This window comes from Homo sapiens, chromosome 19, assembly GCF_000001405.40.
Source record: "Homo sapiens chromosome 19, GRCh38.p14 Primary Assembly".
NCBI classification, from domain to species: domain Eukaryota; kingdom Metazoa; phylum Chordata; class Mammalia; order Primates; family Hominidae; genus Homo; species Homo sapiens.
The window spans coordinates 54,938,757-54,957,208 of NC_000019.10; the positions used below are offsets into that span (position 1 = coordinate 54,938,757).

The 18,452-nt window shown below is 50.6% G+C and overlaps 1 protein-coding gene across 5 annotated transcripts in view, besides 3 other annotated features; it reads right to left on the reverse strand.

Annotated features, from left to right (window-relative positions):
• NLRP7 (NLR family pyrin domain containing 7) overlaps positions 1-18,452 on the reverse strand; it is a 42,729-nt gene that overhangs the window by 15,242 nt on the left and 9,035 nt on the right. For 3 of the 5 annotated variants that reach the window (NM_139176.4, NM_206828.4, NM_001127255.2), the window contains exons 1-4: positions 8,713-8,774; positions 2,679-2,994; positions 2,175-2,249; positions 132-1,710 (exon numbers count right to left, since the gene is read on the reverse strand). In NM_139176.4, coding sequence (NP_631915.2) covers positions 132-1,710; positions 2,175-2,249; positions 2,679-2,955 — 1,931 coding nt within the window. In that variant the 5' untranslated portion in view covers positions 2,956-2,994; positions 8,713-8,774. Of the gene's footprint in view, positions 1-131; positions 1,711-2,174; positions 2,250-2,678; positions 2,995-8,712; positions 8,775-8,886; positions 9,094-18,452 lie in introns of those variants that run through there. The other 2 variants (NM_001405531.1, XM_047438386.1) reach the window with 2 other exon arrangements.
• Positions 381-1,090: an enhancer, noted in NCBI's record as "H3K4me1 hESC enhancer chr19:55450505-55451214 (GRCh37/hg19 assembly coordinates)". NCBI's record gives its function as "activates a minimal SCP1, AML or CMV promoter by ChIP-STARR-seq in naive H9 embryonic stem cells {active_cell/tissue: H9 hESC(naive)}" and the evidence as "EXISTENCE:reporter gene assay evidence [ECO:0000049][PMID:30033119]".
• Positions 11,866-12,556: an enhancer, noted in NCBI's record as "NANOG-H3K27ac hESC enhancer chr19:55461990-55462680 (GRCh37/hg19 assembly coordinates)". NCBI's record gives its function as "activates a minimal SCP1, AML or CMV promoter by ChIP-STARR-seq in primed H9 embryonic stem cells {active_cell/tissue: H9 hESC(primed)}" and the evidence as "EXISTENCE:reporter gene assay evidence [ECO:0000049][PMID:30033119]".
• Positions 13,247-13,936: an enhancer, noted in NCBI's record as "H3K27ac-H3K4me1 hESC enhancer chr19:55463371-55464060 (GRCh37/hg19 assembly coordinates)". NCBI's record gives its function as "activates a minimal SCP1, AML or CMV promoter by ChIP-STARR-seq in primed H9 embryonic stem cells {active_cell/tissue: H9 hESC(primed)}" and the evidence as "EXISTENCE:reporter gene assay evidence [ECO:0000049][PMID:30033119]".

Consider the following 18,452-nt stretch of genomic DNA (forward strand, 5'->3'; position numbering starts at 1 on the left):
AGTCGTGTCTCCACGTTGAACATGAAGCTGGAAAGAAGTCCAGCCAGAGGGAAATTCTGACAGTAAGCGACAGGGCAAAGGAGACGCTGGCCTCTTCCTAGTGGAGCGTGGGATGGGAAAACAGTTCTTACCTTTCAAATTCAATGTCCAGTTCAAAATCCATGTAATTCTCCAGGAACACCCCCTTTGCTACCTGCAGTGAGAGTTTCTGCAAGTCTTGACAATGCTTCAGGCTGAAGGAACAATGCATCACTTCAGAAGTATTTGTCAGGTGAATAGAAATTTCCTTGAACGGGGCCACCACCACCTTCGCCAGCTCCTCCTCCTGAGACTCATACAGGCAGCCCAAGACCTCCTTCAGGTCGGTCACGGATAAGGGCTTATTTGCATGAAGATGTGCTTTGCATTGCAGCAATTCCTGTTTGATGTCCGGTGACATCCGGCAGCCAAAAGTGGCCTCCAACTCCTTGGCTCTCTTCTCGTTAGCGAGGCCGAATAAGAAGTGTCCTACTTGAATCAGGTCGGGGTTCTTGAGTCTTTCTTCTCCGGAAAGCAGCTTCTGTACGTCCCCGATGTCCCAGGCGTGGCCGTCCCTGTCCTCCCCCTCCTCCTTCTCCAGGGCGTAGAACAGGGCAGTGAGAAACTGCTGGAAGCTGAGGTGGATGAAGGAGTAGCAGCCTTTGGAGACTCTGTCCTGGCGGAGGATGTCTCCGTCCAGGAACAGACGGAGGTCGGACTCCTGCACCCCGAGCCTTTCCAGGTCCTCTCGGTGGAACACGGACATCTGCGCCCACAGGCCCTGCGCGGCCAGGAGGCTCAGCGTCCGCAGCGCGCCCCGCAGCTGTGCGCCCTGCGGGAACCGGCTGCAGAGGAAACGCAGGAACAGCCCCGTGCGGGTGAGGCAGGTGGGGACCGGGTCCTCCCCCTTCTCCATCTGCAGCTTCAGAGTCGTGCACACAATCCAGCACACCGCGGGGGCCGAGCCCAGCTGGAACAGGGCCGCGTTGCTCCTCATTAGCTCAAAGGCACGCATGGCTTGGTCCTCGTCTCCAAAGTGTCTCAGGAAATAGGCCCTCCTGTCCTCCTCCAGGAAGCCCTCCACCCTTACGTAGATCGGCTGCTGCGCCAGGAGCTGGAGGTCCCTCAGTGCCCTGGGCCGCGTGGTGACCAGCAAGGCTGCCCTGGGTAACATCTTCCTCTTCAGCAAACTCCCCAGGAGGACGGGCACCGGCTTCTTCTTCTCCCAGTCCCCGCAGATGTCCTGGATCAGCGCCCCAGGTGGGACTTTCAGCTCATCAAGGCCATCGACCACGAACAGGATTCTCTGTGCTTGGGCTAGGATGCTTGGAATGTCATCCTGCAATTCAGGCCAGTCTTTGGAGATCAGCTCTGCAAAACTGCAGGGGCCCATGCGGCTGAGCTCCTTGCAGCTGAGGTAGAACGCGTATCTGAGCGTCGGGCTGAGGTTGCAGTCTGTCCAGTCCAGCATACACTTTTTGGCCAGCGTGGTTTTCCCCACGCCTGCGGGGCCGTGCAGCACCACCGTGTAAGGTGTTAGCTTCCTGGGTGTTCTGGGATTCAAGAATGGAATGAACCGTTGGTTTCTCAGAGTGACGTCGTCATGGAAATTGTCAATGTCTCCTTGCCAAAAGGTGTTCTTCCAGACCAAAGACTGTTTCTCCATTGAATTTCTCCATCCTTCCTTTTCACCTGCAGTGACAGCCCATAGGACAGTTGAGGTTGATGATGATGATTTTCTGAATTATTTTGTCAAGTACCAGAAATGAGGGCCAGGCACGGTGTCTCATGCTTGTAATCCCGGCACTTTGGGAGGCCAAGGTGGGTGGATCACTTGAGGTCAGGAGTTCAAGACCAGCCTGGCCAAGATAGTGAAACCCCATCTCTACTAAAAATACAAAACATTAGCTGGGGGTAGTGGCGGCCGCCTGTAATCCCGGCTACTCAGGAGGCTGAGGCAGAGAATTGCTTGAACCCGGGAGGCAGAGGTTGCAATGAGCAGAGACGGAGCCACTACACTCCAGCCTGGGCTACAGAGCAAGATTCCGTCTCAAAAAAAAAAAAAACTACCAGAAATGAATAAAACCAGGAAGAAGTGATGCACCTTGCATGCTCTCAAACACCAAACTCATGACCATAGGACCGTATTTACCCACCTGGCTTTGCTAACTCCGAGTCTTCTTCTGCATCTCCCAGCTCAGGATTATCTATTTCTTGCACCTGTCCGTCCTCTGTAAAATACTTAGATGTAAGCCTGACACAGTAATTTACACTTCGTAAATCAGACATTATTGTACATAAAGTGTCAGCCAGGCATGGTGGCTCATGCCTGTAATCACAGCACTTTGGAAGGCTGAGGTGGGCGGATCACAAGGTCAGGAGATCAAGACCAGCCTGGCCAACATGGCAAAACCCCATCTCTACTAAAAATACAAAAAAAAAAAAATTAGCCAGGTGTGGTGAAACACGCCTGTAATCCCAGCTACTCCGGAGGCTGAGATAGGAGAATCACTTGAACCCAGAGGCGGAGGTTGCAGTGAGCCCAGATCTCGCCACTGCACTCCAGCCTTACACTCCAGCCTGGGCGACAGAACGAGACTCCATCTCAAAAAAAAAAAAAAAAAAAAAAAAATGACCAGGACACCCCAGGTTCTACTTACCCATCATCTCAGCCTTTGCCATCTTACACAATTCCGTGAGATTCATCTCTTCCAAGATGTTCACAGTCGCATTCCTTATCCAATTTTCTGAGGAGGTGTTGACCAGAATTTCTGCCAGTTTCTTGCCATCAGCCTCTTCCACCTCAGACCATGGGGTCTTCTGTAGCACGTCTTCGAGGGGAAAAGCCCATAAAAGGGATTTGAAACTCTTTAATTCATCCTCGTTCAGCTGCTCCAGAAGGGTCTGCAGAGTCCACTCTAGCTGGGGCGATGTCATAGTGCTCCGAGTATGAGACCTTAGGTTAAGGCTGAAGAACTGGGGGGAAAAAAGGAAAAACAGTTCACGAGTTACCATCATTAAATGAAACCACAGTTTCCTGTGTGCCAAGAACAAGACTGTTCCTGCTGTACAGTGAGTGGTAAAATATTCCAAAGACTGAATTAAGAGACTGAAAATCTGGCCCAGCACGGTGGCTCACGCCTGCGGCCAGGAGTTCGAGACCAGCCTGGCTAACTTGGTAAAAAGAACGAACAAAAGGCTGGGCACGGTGGCTCACGCCTGTAATCCCAGCACTTTGGGAGGCCGAGGCGGATGGATCACGATATCAGGAGATCGAGACCATCCTGGCTAACACAGTGAAACCCCTGCCTCTACTAAAAAAATACAAAAAATTAGCAGGGCGTGGTGGCGGGCACCTGTAGTCCCAGCTACTCGGGAGGCTGAGGCAGGAGAATGGTGTGAACCCGGGAAGTGGAGCTTGCAGTGAGCAGAGATCTCACCATTGCACTCCAGCCTGGGCGACAGAGCGAGACTCCGTCTCAAAAAAAAAAAAAAAAAAAAAAAAAAGAATACAAAGAATGAAGGGTCAGTGGTATGCTAGGGCCAGCCCGTGCTGCCTAATGGGGGCTTCCTATATGTACCTATACCAACGTCCATGGGCTGTGATTTCACACTGATAGTACAAAATCACAAGGGGAGTGTTTATGCCACAGAAATCAGCAAACACGGCAGGGCGCGGTGGCTCACGCCTGTAATCCCAGCACTTTGGGAGGCCAAGGCGGGTGGATAACCTGAGGTCGGGAGCTCAAGACCAGCCTGACCAACACGGCGAAACCCCATCTCTACTAAAAATACAGAAATTACAGGCGGGTGCCTGTAATCCCAGCTACTCAGGAGGCCGAGACAGGAGAATCACACTTGAACCTGGGAGGTGGAGGTTGCATGATCTGAGATCACGCCATTGCACTCGAGCCTCGGCAACAAGAACAAGACTCTGTCTCAAACAAACAAAAAAACAAATCAGCAAACACTACAAACCAAGACTTCCTCGCCACCAACCCTCAGAGCCACTTGTTTAACATTTCAGCCCACCACTGAATGACACATTGAAAACAAATAGCAAGAGGACAGATATAAATATAACTGTACTGGCCGGGTATGGTGGCTCAGGCCTGGAATCCCAGCACTTTGGGAGGCTGAGGCAGGTGGATCGCCTGATGTCAGGAGTTTGAGACCCGCCTGGCCCACATGGTGAAACCCCATCTCTACTAAAAATACAAAAGCTAGCCAAGTGTAGTGGTAGGAACCTGTAATCCCAGGTACGTGGGAGGCTGAGGCAGGAGAATCGCTTGAACCCAGGAGGCGGAGGTTGCAGTGAGCTGAGATAGCGCCATTGTACTCCAGCCTGGGCAACAAGAGCGAAACTCTATCTCAAAAAAAAAAAACTTAGCCAGGCCTGGTGGAACATACCCGTAGTCCCAGATACTTGGGAGGCTGACACAGGAGGATTGTTTGAGCCTACGATTTGGAGGTTGCAGTGAGCCAGCCACTGCACGCCAGCCTGGGTGACAGAGTGAGGCCCTGTCTCAAAAGTAAGTAACTAATGGCCGGGTGCGGTGGCTCACGCCTGTAATCCCAGCACTTTGGGAGGCCGAGGCAGGCGGATCACGAGGTCAGGAGATCGAGACCATCCTGGCTAACACGGTGAAACCCCGTCTCTACTAAAAATACAAACAATTAGCCGGGCGTGGTGGCGGGCGCCTGTAGTCCCAGCTACTCGGGAGGCTGAGGCAGGAGAATGGCGGGAACCCGGGAGGCGGAGCTTGCAGTGAGCGGAGATCGCGCCACCGCACTCCAGCCTGGGCGACAGAGCGAGACTCCGTCTGGGTTGGGGGGGCGGGGGGAAGAGGCAGCCTGGAAAATAAATAACAGAAAAAGTGACTTGCCAAGCCCGGGTGCTGATAGAGGTGGACAGCTTTACCCTTGGAGGGAACAGCAAATCTTTTTCCCCAGCTGTGACGTGTGGGGAAAAGGAGGACAGATCAGACTGTTACTGTGTCTATGTAGAAAGAAATAGACATAAGAGACTCCATTTTGTTCTGTACTAAGAAAAATTCTTCTGCCTTGAGATGCTGTTAACCTGTAACCCTAGCCCCAACCCTGTGCTCCCAGAAACATGTGCTGTGTCACACGTGGGTTTAGGGCTATGCAGGATGTGCTTTGTTAAACAGATGCTTGAAGGCAGCATGCTTGTTAAAAGTCATCACCACTCTCTAATCTCAAGCACCCAGGGACACAATACACTGCGGAAGGCTGCAGGGACCTCTGCCTAGAAAAGCCAGGTATTGTCCAAAGTTTCTCCCCATGTGATAGCCTGAGATAAGGCCTCGTGGGAAGGGAAAGACCAGACCGTACCCCAGCCCGACACCCGTAAAGGGTCTGTGCTGAAGAGGATTAGTATAAGAGGAAGGCCTTTTTGCAGTTAAGAGGAAGGTATCTGTCTCCTGCTCGTCCCTGGGCAATGGAATGTCTCGGTGTAAAACCCGATGGTATGTTCCATCCACCGAGATAGGGGAAAACCGCCTTAGGGCTGGAGGTGACACATGCTGGCAGCAATACTGCTCTTTAATGCACCAGATATGTTTATGTATGAGCACATCAAGGCACAGCACATTTCCTAACCTTGTTTATGACACAGACATTTGCTCACATGTTTTCCTGCTGACCCTCTCCCCACTGTTACCCTATTGTCCTGCCACATCCCCGTCTCCGAGATGGTAGAGATAATGACCAATAAATACTGAAGGAACTCAGAGACCCGGCCGGCGCGGGTCTCCTGAGCCCACTTTTCTTTCTGTGTACTTTGTCTCTGTGTCTCTTTCTTTTCTCAGTCTCTCGTCCCACCTGACAAGAAACACCCACAGGTGTGGAGGGGCAGGCCACCCCTTCAGTGAGGTATAATTACATATATCCTATTTTAGGATGGAGCAGGAAGAGCATGAGAGCCCAGGAGTTCCAGACCAGCCTGGGCGACACAAGGAGACCTTGTCTCTATTTTTTAAGTATTTTTAAAGTAATATATACAACGTTTACTTGTCAAAGTGTACAGCATGGAGCGATGTTATATATACAGTGAAATGATTACCACAATCCAGCTAATTAACATATCCACTGCTTCATATAGTTGCCTTTCGTTTTTGCAGTGACAACGCTTGATGTACTTAGAAAAATTCAGGGTTTTTTGGCCAGGCACGGTGGCTCACGCCTGTAATCCCAGCACTATGGGAGGCCGAGGCGGGCAGATCACAAGGTGAGGAGCTCAAGACCATCCTGGCTAACACGGTGAAACCCCGTCTCTACTAAAAATACAAAAAAAAAATTAGCCGGGCATGGTGGCGGGCGCCTGTAGTCCCAGCTACTTGGGAGGCTGAGGCAGGAGAATGGCTTGAACCTGGGAGGCGGAGCTTGCAGTGAGCCAAGATCGCGCCACTGCACTCCAGCCTGGGCGAGTGAGACTCCCTCTCAAAAAAAAAAAAAAAAAGAAAAGAAAAGAAAAATTCAGGGTTTTTTTTTTCTTTTTCAGAAAGTCTTGCTCTGTCGCCCAGGCTGGAGTGCAATGGTGCGAGGCTTACCACAACCTCCTCTTCCCGGGTTCAAGCGATTCTCCTGCCTCGGCCTCCCAAGTAGCTGGGATTACAGGTATGCCCCACCACACCTAATTTTTTTTGTATTTTTAGTACAAACGGGGTTTCACCATGTTGGCCAGGCTGGTCTTGAACTCCTGACCTCAGGTGATCTGCCCACCTCAGCCTCCCAAAGTGCTGGGATTACAGGTATGAGCCACCAGGCCTGGCCAAGTATTTTTTTTCCCAAGTACATTTTTTTCTTTTTTTCTTTTTTTTGAGATGGAGTCTCCCTCTGTTGCCCAGGCTGGAGTGCAGTGGCACAATCTCGACTCACTGCAACCTCCACCTCCCAGGTTCAAGTGATTCTAGTGCCTCAGCCTCTCAAGAAGCTGGGATTACAGGCGCACCGCATCACGCCGGGCTAGTTTTTGTATTTTTAGTAGAGACAGGGTTTCTTGTTTTTTTCTGAGATGGAGTCTTGCTCTGTCACCCAGGCTGGAGTGCAGTGGCGCGATCTGGGCTCACTGCAAGCTCCGCCTCCCAGGTTCACGCCATTCTCCTGCCTCAGCCTCCCAAGTAGCTGGGACTACAGGCGCCCGCCACTATGCCCAGCTAATTTTTTTTGTATTTTTAGTAGAGATGGGGTTTCACCGTGTTAGCCAGGATGGTCTCGATCTTCTGACCTCGTGATCCGCCCGCCTCGGCCTCCCATAGTGCTGGGATTACAGGCGTGAGCCACCGCGCCCGGCCGAGACAGGGTTTCTCTATGTTGGCCAGGCTGGCCTCGAACTCCTGACCTCAGCTGATCCACCCGCCTCGGCCTCCCAAAGTGCTGGGATCACAGGCGTGAGCCACCGCATCTGGCCATTTACATTTTTTTTTTTTTTTGATGCAGCATTTCACTCTGGTTGCCCAGGCTGGAGTGCAGTGGCGCAATCTCAGCTCACCGCAACCTCCGCCTCCCGGGTTCAAGTGATTCTCCTGCCTCAGCCTCCCGAGTAGCTGGGATTACAGGCATGTGCCACCACGCCCAGCTAATTTTGTATTTTTAGTAGAGATGGGGTTTCTCCATGTTGGTCAGGCTGGTCTCAAACTCCCGGCCTCAGGTGATCTGAAAGTGCTGGGATTACAGGCGTGAGCCACCGCGCCCAGCCTACTTTTTTTTTTTTTTAAACAGGGTCTTCATCTCATCCAGGCTGGAGTGCAGTGGCTCAATCACACCTCATTGCAGCCCCCACCTCCTGGCTCAGGTGATCCTCCCACCTCACCCCACAAGTAGCTTGGACACAGCACAAGGTCTGGCCTTCTTTGTTTTTTGAGACGGAGTCGCACTCTGTCTCCCAGGCTGGAGTGCAGTGGCGCGATCTCAGCTCATTGCAACCTCCCCCTCCTAGGTTTAAGCTATTCTCCTGCCTCAACCTTCCAAGTAACTGGGATTACAGGCATGCACCACCACACCTGGCTAATTTTTGTGTTTTTAGTAGAGACAGGGTTTCACCATTTTGGGCAGGCTGGTCTCAAACTTCTGGCCTCAAGTGATCCACCCGCCTCGGCCTCCCAAAGTGTTGGGATAACAGGCATGAACCACTGTGCCTGGCCTTATATTTTTTTGTAATGACAGAGTTTTACCATGTTGCCCAGGCTAGTCTCAATCTCCTGAACTCCTCTAAACTATATTTGAATAGAAGTCCTTAAGACATTAGGCCAGGCGTGGTGGCTCACACCTGGAATCCCAGCACTTTGGGAGGCCGAGGCAGACAGATTACCTAAAGTCAGGAGTTCAAGACCAGCCTGGCCAACATGGTGAGACCCCGTCTCTACTAAAAATACAAAAATTAGCTGGGCATGGTGGCACGTGCCTGTAGTCCCAGCTACTCAGGAGGCTGAGGCAGGAGAATGGCGGGTGAACCCAGGAGGCGGAGTTTGCAGCGAACCAAGATCACGCCACTGCACTCCAGCCTGGGCGACAGAGGGAGACTCCGTCTCAAAAAAAAAAAAATCAAAGATCCTTCCAGCATCCTCGCACCAACCATTAAGGCTTGGGAAGGGCTATGGTGGAAACTCAACCAATAGCTTCTTCTCCCTTAAACGAGAAGACAAAGAAATCGATGCAAGAACCAGCACTCACCTCCCTCAGGTCAGGTCTTGCTTCCAGCCTGTGTTTCCTGCAAAGGAAACGGATAAAAAGGGGAGGTCTCTGGCCCTTGGTACGCTAGGTGGAGAGACAGCTTTCCCGCCCAGGGTGGAACCGCCCCACTGAGATTAACATTGGGTGGCTCCCAACCACTGACCTCAGGCTCACCTTGACATCACCTGGGCCCCATCCTCAGGGATTTGGCTGTAATTGGGCTTCAGTGGGCTTTGGAGAATTACGGCTTGCTGAATCTCCCCAGGTGAGATTAATGTGCAATTCCCTTCCTAGACCACCCGGGCCAGGTGTGATAGGCGACAGAACAGGAAATACACATTTTGGGTTTTGCAGGGTACCTGGCTCCCAGCTTTAAAAACTCTTGTAGAGAAAAAAAATTAAACAAAAATAAATAAAAATTAAAAAAAAAGAGGACAAAAACTCCCGTGACTTCCTAAGTTACAAATACAATAAGTCTACTTTGTGGCCAACTGTGGTGCCTCCTGCCTATAAATCCCAGCAGGCTGAGAGGCCTAGGCCAGTGGATCCCTAGGGGCCAGGAGTTTGATACCAGCCTAGGCAACATAGCAAGATGCCATCTCTTCAAAAATATTTAATAATTAGCCATGCATAGGCTGGGCGTGGTAGCTCATGCCTGTAGTCCCAGCAATTTGGGAAGCCGAGGCGGGTGGATCACCTGAGGTCAGGAGTTGGAGACCAGACTGGCCAACGTGGTGAAACTCTGTCTCTACTAAACATACAAAAAATTAGCCAGGTGTGGTGGCAGGTGCCTGTAATCCCAGCTACTCGGGAGGCTGAGACAGGACAATCACTTGAACTAGGGAGGTGGAGGGTGAGTGAGGCACGATCACGCCATTGCACTCCAGCCTGGGTGACAAGAGCAAGACTGTCTCAAAAACAAAAACAAAAAAATTAGCCATACATGATGGGCTGCACCTGTAATCCCAGCTATTCAGGAGGCTGAGGTGGGAGGATCACCTGAGCTCAGGAGTTTGAGGCTGCAGTGAGCTGTGACTGGCCATCTCACTCCAGCCTAGGCCACAGAGTGAGACCCAGTCTCAAAAAAATAAATAGATAACTGATATTTAATTTTTTTTTTTGGATGGAGTCTTGCTCTGTGGCCCAGGCTGGAGTGCAGTGGTGCAATCTCCATTCTTGCAACCTCTGCCTTCCAGGTTCAAGCAATTCTGATGCCTCAGCTTCCCAAGTAGCTGGGACTGCAGGCACATGCCACCATGCCCAACTAATTTTTTGTATTTTTAGTAGAGACAGGGTTTCACCATATTGGTCAGGCTGGTCTCAAACTCCTGATGTCAGGTGATTACAGGCATGAGCCACCGCACCTGGCCTAAAATTGTTTTTAAATAAAACAGTGTATGTTGTGGAAAGCATTCAGCACAGAATTTTGGTAGTTTAAACTGTTAATTTAATGGAAGCAAATGGTCCCACAAATGAAGATGTATATATCAGTTGCAGCATGCCATCTATAGAAATAGGCACTATGGAGGCCTGGCATGGTGGCTCACACCTGTAATCCCTGCACTTTGGAAGGCTGAGGCAGGTGGATCATCTGAGGTCAGCAGTTCGAGACCAACCTGGGCAACATGGCAAAAAACCCCTGGCTACTAAAAATAAAGAATTAGCCAGGCATGGTGGTGTGCACCTGTAATCCCAGCTACTCAGGAGGCTGAGGCGTAAGAATTGATTGAACCTGGGAGTTGGAGGTTGCCGTGAGCCGAGATTGCACCACTGCGCTCCAGCCTGGGCGACAGAGACTCCATCTTTAAAAAAAAAAAAAAAAGATGGCCAGGCGCAGTGGTTCATGAATGTAATCCCAGCACTTTGGGAGGCTGAGGCGGGAGGACTGCCTGAGTCCAGGAGTTCAAGACCAGCCTGGGCAATATGGCGAGACTCCCTCTCTGAAGAAAAAGAAAATAAAAACAATAAAAATAAATTATATTCTAGCTGACAAAAAGAGAGAGAGAGTATATTTTGTTAAAACATTTGGCCTTTAGTCCTAGAGCAGCTATGGAGAGATAAACATGAAAGAGGTATCTCTTGTTATACATACCCAGGCCCTGCAACCACACCTGAGTTTATGTAAATGAGGTGACTTTTGGAAAGCCCCTAGATAACCCCACAAGTGCGAGGGACTGGCTGCCAAAGAAACCGTCAGTGATTAGACATTGGGAACTTTCAGCCCCAGGCTCCAAGTGGCCTCCAGGGAGGGGAGAGGGGCTGAAGGTTGAATTGATTATGAACTGCCAGCTATGTGATCAGCATTGCCCACCTAAGGAATCCTCCATAAACCCCAAAAGAAAAGGGTTTGGGCCGGGTGTCCTGTGGCTCATGCCCGTAATCCCAACGCTTTGGGAGGCCTAGATGGGAGGATTGCTTGAGCCCAAGAATTCTAGGCCAGTCTGGACAAAATAGCAAGACCCTGGCTCTACAAAAAATAAAAAATTAGCCAGGCGTGGTGGAGTGCACCTGTAGACCCAGCTACTCAGGAGGCTGAGGCATGAGAATCACTTGAACGCAGGAGACAGAGGCTGCAGTGAGCTGAGATAGCGCCACTGCACTCCAGCCTGGGTGACGGAGTTAGACTGTCTCAAAAAAAAAAAAAACCAGGAAAGAGTTCAGAAGAGCTTCCTGGTTGGTGAACCCGGGTGCATTCGTGTGCCAGGACTGTGGTGCACCCCAGGTCCACAGGGACAGAAGCTCCTGCACTTCGGACTCCTCTAAACCTCCCCCTACGCATCTCTTCCTTGGCTGTTCATTTGTATCCTTTAAAATATGAAAGGGCGGGTTGCCCCTCCACACCTGTGGGCATTTCTCGTTAGGTGGAAGGAGAGACTTGGAAAAGAAAGAGACACAGACAAAGTATAGAGAAAGAAATAAGGGGACCCAGGGGACCAGCATTCAGCATATGGAGGATCCCGCCAGCTTCTGAGTTCCCTTAGTATTTATTGATCATTTTGGGGTGTTTCTCAGAGAGGGGGATGTGGCAGGGTCATAGGATAATAGTGGAGGGAAGGTCAGCAGATAAACACGTTAACAAAGGTCTCTGCATCATAGACAAGGTAAAGAACTAAGTGCTGTGCTTTAGATATGCATACACATAAACATCTCAATGCCTTACGGAGCAGTATTGCTGCCCGCATGTCCCACCTCCAGCCCTAAGGCGGTTTTCCCCTATCTCAGTATATGGAATATACAATCGGGGTTTACACCCATACATTCCATTGCCCAGGGACGAGCAGGAGACAGATGCCTTCCTCTTGTCTCAACTGCAAAGAGGTGTTCCTTCCTCTTTTACTAATCCGCCTCAGCACAGACCCTTTACTGGTGTCGGGCTGAGGGACGGTCAGGTCTTTCCCTTCCCATGAGACCATATTTCAGGCTATCACATGGGGAGAAACCCTGGACAATACCTGGCTTTCCTAGGCAGAGGTCCCTGCGGCCTTCCGCAGTGTTTGTGTCCCTGGGTACTTGAGATTAGGGAGTGGTGATGACTCTTAAGGAGCATGCTGCCTTCAAGCATTTGTTTAACAAAGCACATCTTGCACAGCCCTTAATCCATTTAACCCTGAGTGGACACAGCACATGTTTCAGAGAGCACAGGGTTGGGGGTAAGGTCATAGATTAACAGCATCTCAAGGCAGAAGAATTTGTCTTAGTACAGAACAAAATGAAGTCTCCTGTGTCTACTTCTTTCTACACAGACACAGTTACAATCTGATCTCTCTTTCTTTTCCCCACAAAAATATCCTTTGTAGACCAGGCACAGTGGCTCAGGCCTGTAATCCCAGCACTTTGGGAGGCTGAGGCAGATGGATCACTTAAGGTCAGGAGTTTGAGACCAGCCCAGCCAGCATGGTGAAACTGCGTCTCTACAAAAATACAAAAATTAGCGGGGCATGGTAGTTCAACGCCTGTAATCCCAGCTACTCGAGAGGCTGAGGCAGAATTGTTTGAACCCGGGAGGCAGAGGCAGAGGTTGCAGTGAGCCGAGGTCGCACGACTGCACTCCAGCCTGGGTGCAACAGAGTGAGACTCCATCTCAAAAAACAAAAAACAAAAACAAAAACAAAACAAAAAATGAAAACCCACTTTTAGTAAAAAAAATAAAAATGAAAAAATGTGAATCAGGCTGCACTCTGGCCCACATCCTGGCTGCTGTGTATCACGTGGCTCTAGACACTGCACTTTTGCCTCCTCATCATTGCTGTAGATAGGATTTCTGACAGCAGGGTCATTAGACGAATTTTTTTTTTTTTTTGAGACGGAGTCTCGCTCTGTCGCCCAGGCTGGAGGGCAGTGGCGCAATCTCTGCTCACTGCAAGCTCCGCCTCCCGGGTTCACACAATTCTCCTGCCTCAGCCTCCCGAATAGCTGGGACTACAGGTGCCTGCAACCATGCCTGGCTAATTTTTTTTGTATTTTTAGTAGAGACGCGGTTTCACCATGTTAGCCAGGATGGTCTCGATCTCCTGACCTCGTGATCCTCCCGCCTAGGCCTCCCAAAGTGCTGGGATTACAGGCGTGAGCCACCGCGCCCGGCCCCATTAGACAAATTTGTATCTGCACGGTTCCTACAGATAAACTCTGGGACATTAGAATTATAAGGCTTTTGTTTAAGGATGGTTTCAGATGTTTTTCAGACCTTGAATTCCAGCCAAATAGCTGACACTAACCAGTTTGAAGACCCCAGTGAGGAATGGGATCAGCATGAGAACACTGCGTCTTCATGCCCCTGTCTCCGCCAGCAGTCAGCATGGCCACACTCTGGCCCACACCAAAACACTTAAAAACCCTAGCCCCGGCCGGGTGCAGAGGCTCACACCTGTAACTCCAGCACTTTGGGAGGCCAAGGCAGGTGAATCACCTGAGGTCAAGAGTTCAAGACCAGCCTGGCCAACATAGTGAAACCCCGTTTCTACTAAAAACACAAAAAATTAGTCGGGCGTGGTAGCGGGTGCCTGTAACCCCAGCTACTCAGGAGGCTGAGGCAAGAGAATTACTTGAACCTGGGAGGCGGAGGTTGCAGTGAGCAAAGATCCTGCCACTGCACTCCAGCCTGGGTGACAAAGCAAAACTCCATCTCAAAAAAAAAAAAAACCCTAGACCCAAACTTCTGGGGGAGATGGATTGGAGGTTTCCTCCCATCTCCTCATTCCTCAGCCCTGTGATTAAACTTCCTTCTCTTCTGCAACACAGTGACCCGGCAAATTGACTCACAGCGTGCATTGGGCAACGGACCTACTGTCAGAGGCGTGTAACCAGGGCAACTCCATCTTGAATAGGAGCTGACTAAAATAAGGCTGAGACCTACCGGGCTGCATTCCCAGACAGTTAAGGCATTCTCCAAAAAAAACAAAAATGACAGGCACGGTGGCCCAGCACTTTGGGAGGCCGAGGCGGGTGGATTACCCGAAGTAGAGTTTGAGACCAGCCTGGCCAACACGGTGAAACCCCGTCTCTACTGAAAATACAAAAATTAGTCAGGCGTGGTGGCTCGTGCCTGTAATCCCACCTACTTGCGAGGCTGAGGCAGGAGAATCGCTTGAGCCGGGGAGGCGGAGGTTGCAGTAAAAAGAAAAAAAAAAGCATTCTAAGTCACAGGATGAGATAAGTCAGCACAAGATACAGGTCATAAGGACCTTGCTGATAACACAGGTAGCAATGTAGCAGGACCAGCCACAGACAAAACTCCTCAGACACCGAGTTAAAGAAGAAAGGGGTTTATCCGGCCAGGGGCATCGGCAAGACTCCCGTCTCAAGAGCCGAGATCCCCAAGTGAGCAATTCCTGTCCCTTTTAAGGGCTCACAACTCTAAGGGGGTGTGCGTGAGAGGGTCGTGATCGACTGAGCAAGCAGGGGGTACGTGACTGGGGGCTGCATGCACTGGTAATCAGATCCAAACAAAACAGGATAGGGATTTTCACAGTGCTTTTCTATACAATGTCTGTAATCTATAGATAACCGATTAGGTCAGGGGTCAATCTTTAACTACCAGGCCCAGGGTGTGGCGCCGGGCTGTCTGCTTGTGGATTTCATTCCTGGGCCGCGGGGCTGTCTGCTTGTGGATTTCATTCCTGGGGCGCGGGGCTGTCTGCTTGTGGATTTCATTTCTGCCTTTTAGTTTTTACTTTTTCTTTCTTTGGAGGTGGAAATTGGGCATAAGACAATATGAGGGGTGGTCTCCTCCCTTAGCAATAAAGAATCCAGCCAGGCCGGGCGCGGTGGCTCACACCTGTAATCCCAGCACTTTCGGGGGCTGAGGCGGGTGGATCACACGGTCAGGAGATTGAGACCATCCTGGCTAACACGGTGAAACCATCTCTACTAAAAAAAAAAAATACAAAAAATTAGCTGGGCGTGGTGGCGGGCGCCTGTAGTCCCAGCTACTCGGGAGGCTGAGGCAGGAGAACGGCGTGAACCCGGGTGATGGAGCTTGCAGTGAGCGGAGATCGCGCCACTGCACTCCAGCCTGGGTGACAGAGCGAGACTCCGTCTCAAAAAAATAAAAAATAAATAAAAATAAATAAAGCATCCAGTCAAACTCCATCAAAACCAAGATAGTGACGAGAGTAACCTCTGGTTGTCCTCACCGCTCCACTCCCAGCAGCCCCATGACAGTTTACAAATGCCATGGCAATGTCAGGAAGTTACCCTATGCTGTCTAAAAAGGGGAGGCATGAATAATCCACCCCTTGTTTAGCATATCCATAGAAATAACCATAAAAATGGGCAACCGGCCGGGCGCGGTGGTCACGCCTGTAATCCCAGCACTTTGGGAGGCCGAGGCGGGTGGATCATGAGGTCAGGAGATTGAGACCATCCTGGCTAACACGGTGAAATCCCATCTCTACTAAAAAAAAATACAACTAATTAGCTGGGTGCGGTGGCGGGCGCCTGTAGTCCCAGCTACTCGGGAGGCTGAGGCAGGAGAATGGCCTGAACCCAGGAGGCGGAGCTTGCAGTGAGCCGAGATAGTGCCACTGCACTCTGGCCTGGTGAAAGAGCGAGACTCCGTCTCAAAAAAAAAAAAAAAAAAAAAAAAGGGCAACCGAGGCCGGACGTGGTGGCTTACGCCTGTAATCCCAACACTTTGGGAGGCCGAGGCGGGCATATCACCTGAGCTCAGGAGGTCAAGATCAGCCTGGCCAACATGGTGAAACCCCATCTCTTACTAAAAATACAAAAATTAGCCAGACGTGATGGCAGGCACCTGTAATCCCAGCTACTCAGGAGGCTGAGGCAGGAGAATCACTTGAACTGAAGTGATTCAAGGCAGAGGTTTCAGTGAGCCAAGATCACGCCACTGCACTCCAGCCTGGGCGACAAGAGCAAAACTCCATCTCAAAAAAAATAAGGGCAACTAGCAGCCCTATGGGCTGCTGTCTATGGAGTAGCTATTCTTTTACTCCTTCACTTTCCTAATAAGCTTGCTTCCACTTTACTCCATAGTCTCGCCCTGAATTCTTTCTGGTATGAGATTCAAGAACCCACCATGCCCAGCTCGTCCTTACTTGCTTTTAAAAAATATCATTGGTGGCCGGGCGCGGTGGCTCACGCCTGCAATCCCAGCACTTTGGGAGGCCAAGGCTGGCGGATCACCTGAGGTCCGAAGTTTGAGACCAGCCTGACCAACATGGAGAAACCCCGTCTCTACTAAAATACAAAAAAATTAGCTGGGTGTGGTGGTGCGTGCCTGTAATCCCAGCTACTCAGGAGGCTGAGGCAGGAGAATCACTTGAACCCGGGTGGCAGAGGTTGCAGTGAGCCAAGATCATGCCATTGCACTCCAGCCTGGGCAACAAGAGTGAAACTCCGTCTCAAAAATAAATAAATAAAATCATTGGAATAATTTTCTTCTTTAGGAAGAGCAGCCTTGGGCCAGGCATGGTGGCACATGCCTGGAATCCCCGAACTTTGGGCAGCCCAGGTAGGTGGATTGCTTGAGTTCAAGAGTTCCAGACCAGCCTGGACAACATGATGAAACCTCTTCTTGATCAAATATACAGAATTTCGACTGAGCACAGTGGCTGTAAGCCCAGCATGTTGGGAAGCTGAGGTGGGTGAATCATTTGAGGTCAGACCAGCCTGACTAACATGGCGAAACCCCATCTCTACAAAAAATACAAAAGTTAGCCAGGAGGTCGTGGGCGCCTGTGGTCCCAGCTACTCGGGAGGCTGAGGCAGGAGAATGACGTGAATCCCGGAGTCGTAGGTTGCAGTGAGCCAAGATCGTGCCACTGCACTTCAGCCTGGGCGACACAGCAAGACTGAGGTTGCAGTGAGCTGTGATCCTCAACCTCCTGGGTTCAAGGGATTGTCGAGCCTCAGCCTCCCAAGTAGCTGGGATTATAGACATTCGCTCCCATGCCTGGCTAATTTTTGTATTGCAAAAATGCACTCCAGCCTAGATGACAGGACTGCACTCCAGCCTGGATGACAGAGCAAGACTGTGTCTCAAAAATAAATAAATAAATAAATAAATAGCCAACTGTGATCGTGCATGCCTGTAGTCCCAGCTACTCAGGAGGCCAAGGCAGGAGGATCACTTGAGACTGGGAGGTCATGGCTACAGTGAGCCATGATCTCGCAACTGCACTCCAGCCTGGGCAACAGAGGGAGAGAAAGGAAGGAAGGAGGGAAGGAGGGAAGGAGGGAAGGGAAGGAGGGAAAGGAAGTCAGTCTTGTGGGACAAGGAAGGAAGGAAGGAAGTCAGTCAGTCTTGTGGGACTCAGCCCTGAACCTTTGGGATCTGATGCTGTCCCCAGGTAGGGAGTGTCAGAACTAAATCAAAGGAGAGGACACCCAGCTGGTCTCTGCTGGAGAACTGGTTGTTGGTGGGGAGAAACATACATTTTTGGTGAAGTATTCTGTGTTGAGTGTGAAAGTAGGAAAAACAGGACTGGGTATGGTGGTTCATGCCTGTCATTCCAGGATTTTGGGAGGCCAAGGCAGGCGGATCACTTGAGGTCAGGACTTTGAGACCACCCTGGTGAACATGGCAAAACCCCATCTCTACTAAAAAAAAATACAAAAATTAGCTGGGCGCGGTGGCAGGTGCCTGTAATACCAGCTACTCGGGAGGCTGAGGCAGGAGAATCACTTGAACCCGGGAGGCGGAGGTTGCAGTGAGCTGAGATTGTGCCTTTGCACTCCAGCCTGGGAGACAGAGCAAGACTCTCCCTCAAAAAAAAAAAAAGGCCGGGCGCAGTGGCTCACGCCTATAATATCAGCACTTTGGGAGGCCGAGGCAGGTGGATCACTGACACCCAACACCACGCCTTCTAATTTTTTGCATTTTTAGTAGAAACGGGGTTTCACCATGTTGGCCAGGCTTGTCTCGAACTCCTGTCCTCTGGTGATCCACCTGCCTTGGCCTCCCAAAGTGCTGGAATTACAGGCGTGAACCCAGCAACTTTTCCCCCTTTTATCATACCTTAATTTGCCTCCACCACCCCCAGAAGCTCCAAGTCTCTACGCCTTTTCATTTATGTATGTATGTATTTATTTATTTATTTATTTATTTTATTTTGAGACAGGGTCTCCCTCTATCTCCCAGGCTGCAGTGCAGTGGCGTGATCTTGGCCCACTGCAACCTCCACCTCCCGGGTTCAAGTAATCCTCCTGTCTCAGCCTCCCAAGTAGCTGGGATTACAGGGCACACCACCACACCTGGCTAATTTTTGTATTTTTAGTGGAGA